Source organism: Homo sapiens, chromosome 6 (genome assembly GCF_000001405.40).
Source record: "Homo sapiens chromosome 6, GRCh38.p14 Primary Assembly".
Taxonomy (NCBI): Eukaryota; Metazoa; Chordata; class Mammalia; order Primates; family Hominidae; genus Homo; species Homo sapiens.
In genome coordinates this window covers 23,854,161-23,857,272 of record NC_000006.12, presented here as the reverse complement: position 1 = coordinate 23,857,272, position 3,112 = coordinate 23,854,161, and the positions used below count along the sequence as shown (strand labels likewise).

The following is a 3,112-nucleotide window of genomic DNA, read 5'->3' as shown; positions in this document are numbered from 1 at the left end:
TCTACTTAACACCCAGAGGTTACTGTGCCCTCCTCTTGATCTTGGCCCCACACTTCTATTTATCCTGGTTTATTGTTTCTCACATTGAGATCCAAAGACAGGTATATCTGTAGGTATATTCTTGGATGTTGATATGTTTTATGAGAATTTGAAAATTTGAACTCCATTGTGATATTAATCTCAGTTATTTTGCCATTCCAAAACATAAAACTTCTAATTTTTTTTGCTGAGATAATTAAAAATTTACAAGACATTGTCCTCGAATGGGGCTTACAGTCCTTACACCAGCATCTCACAAACTAAAATGCATAGATTTTTCTTTTGTCTTTTTCTTTTTTCTTCCCTTTGCTTGGGTCTATAGGTGACTCAAATTTTGAGAAACATTTGTCTGGACAGCAGCTAAGCTGAACAGTGAGATAGAAATGAGACAGCGTATGGAAGGAAGCGGCTAACTATGGCGACTGCCACGGAGCAGTGGGTTCTGGTGGAGATGGTACAGGCGCTTTACGAGGCTCCTGCTTACCATCTTATTTTGGAAGGGATTCTGATACTCTGGATAATCAGACTTCTTTAAGACTTACAAATTACAAGAAAGATCTGACCTTACAGTCAAGGAAAAAGAAGAACTGATTGAAGAGTGGCAACCAGAACCTCTTGTTCCTCCTGTCCCAAAAGACCATCATGCTCTCAACTACAACATCGTTTCAGGATGGAGTCTTGCTCTGTCACCAGGCTGGAGTGCAGTGGTGTGATCTCGGCTCACTACAACCTCCACCTCCTGGGTTCAAGCCATTCTCCTGCCTCAGCCTCCCGAGTAGCTGGGACTACAGGCACAAGCCACTGTGCCCGCCTAATTTTTGTATTTTCAGTAGAGACGGAGTTTCACCATGTTGGCCAGAATGGTCTCGATCTCCTTTTTTTAACTAAAAAGTAAACTTTAATGTCGAAAATGCAAACTTGGGGAGGGCAGAAAGATCACACACAAGGCCGTCACTTCACACTTGGAAGGTTGCACAGCAGCTGGGCAGAGACGCTCCTCACTTCCCAGATGGTGCAGGGGCTGGGCAGAGGTGCTCCTCCCTTACAAACAGTGAGGGGGCCGGGCAGAGGTGTTCCTCACTTTCCAGACAGGGTGGCGGCTGGGCAGAAGCACTCCTCACTTCCCAGATGGGACGGTGGCCAGGCAGAGGCGCTCCTCATTTCCCAGACGGTGAGGAGGCCGGGCAGAGGCACTCCTCACTTTGCAGACAGGACGGCGGTGAGGCAGAGGCGCTCCTTACTTTCCAAACAGGGCGGCAGCTGGGCAGAGGCGCTCCTCACTTCCCATACTGTGAGGCGGCCGGGCAGAGTTGCTTGTCACTTCCCAGATGGGGTGGAGGCTGGGCAGAGGCAGTGCTCCTCCTCAATTCCCAGATGGTGGGCAGCTGGGCAGAGGTGCTTCTCACTTCCCAGACAGGGCACTGGCCAGGCAGAAGCGCTCCTCACTTCCCAGAGTGTAAGGGGGCCGGGCAGAGGCACTCCTCACTGCCCAGACGGGGCAGGGCCTGGGTAGAGGCGCTTCTCACTTCCCAGACTGTGAGGCGGTTGGGCAGAGGCACTCGTCACTTCCCAGACAGGGCGGGGGCCGGGCAGAGGCGCTCTTCACTGCCCAGACGGTGGGGCAGCTGGGCAGAGGTGCTCCTCACTTCCCAGACGGTGGAGCAGGTGGGCAGAGGCGCTCCTCACTTCCCAGATGGTGCAGGCAGAGATGCTCCTCAGGTCTTAATCTCTTGACCTCCTGATCCATCCGCCTGGGCCTCCCAAAGTGCTGGATTACAGGCGTGAGCCACCACGCCTGCCCTGCCATCTCTTCTTTCTCCTCCTAAGCAGCTGTCTTAGTCTCCTGAATTTTGATGTTCTACTTAACACTCTCACGTTCTTACGCATGTTGCCCTGCTGGAGGCGTCCTTCTCTTTGGGAAGCCTTACCCACCAACAGTGCCTCAGGAGATAGACATGGAAGCTTAGCTGGTGGGGGCCCCTCGTCTCTATCCCACCTCAGTTGCAGGGGAGGGGTCTGTTGCAGCTGCAGCGGTGGCCCCGACAGTTTTCTTTTGCGGGGCCTGTGGCCGGCAGCTCTGGGTGGAGAAGACCTACTTGATCTAAGAGCTGCAGGATCCTTGGGCTGCATGTCCTCCCCCACCATCAGCAAGCCTGGAGAGCTAGGCAGGTGGTCTTTACCCAGCACCTTCAAGGCTGCCTTCTCTGGCCACAGGGAGCAGTCCGGAACAGGGGCAGGGAGCACTGCTGGAAGTGGGTCAGGCTTCCCAAAGGGAAGGATGCCTCCAGCAGGGCTGTGTGAACTGGTGACTCCATGGCCCTTGGAGTAGAAACTCACTGCATGCACCTGGGCCTTGTCAGTCTGGTTCTTTTCTGTCAAGCTCTTGAGGTGGACATTTCCCTCCAAGGGCCTGGGATTGTACCAGGAGGAAGTGAGGTTTCCCTGAGTCTCCAGGGGCCTAGAGGTGGAGGCTGCTTTCCCATTGCTACAGGGGCCCGTTTTATTGTCCTCCTGCCCCTGGGTCTCTACCTGGTCTTTCACCTCCGTTGCTTCTTTGGGCTCTTCTGCCCTCACCTCCATCTTCGGGAGCCTGGTTGGGATCACCTGCTCATCTAATGAAGGAAGTTGAAGGTTAAACTTGCCTCTGAGACGAGGGTTCCTCACGGGGCTGAGGTGTCCAAACATCATGGAGTTACGAGCAGATAGCACGGGTTTCTTCCTTGAGGGGGCGCTCCAGACTACAGGAGGCAGGACTCTGTGGGGTGTCCGTGTTCCAAGGGATAAGACACAGCCTCATAAGGGCGCCGTCCCAGCTGACTGGAAAAGAAGGCCCAAGATGTCGCTGACGGTTGAAGAGGAGTGGGGAATGGCCCCAGATGCCCCGGGCAGGCACGGGTGCAGGAGCCGCGGGGTGAGCCCGGCCAGCTGGGAAGGCCTCACGGACAAGACGAGCAGGTTGCCGATGGCGTGGCCAGGACCTGCGGCGGAACCAGGAACAAAATACGCTTAATGAGTTGCCCATTTTGAGCGAGTTGTGCACAGACGAAACTAAGGGTCAGAAGTGGAGAGGATA

General features: G+C 54.2%; 2 pseudogenes; one reads left to right on the top strand and one right to left on the bottom strand.

Annotated features, from left to right (window-relative positions):
* On the top strand, positions 437-709 carry SPTLC1P2 (serine palmitoyltransferase long chain base subunit 1 pseudogene 2; annotated as a pseudogene).
* Positions 1,816-2,836, bottom strand: LOC100129616 (putative UPF0607 protein ENSP00000332738-like; annotated as a pseudogene).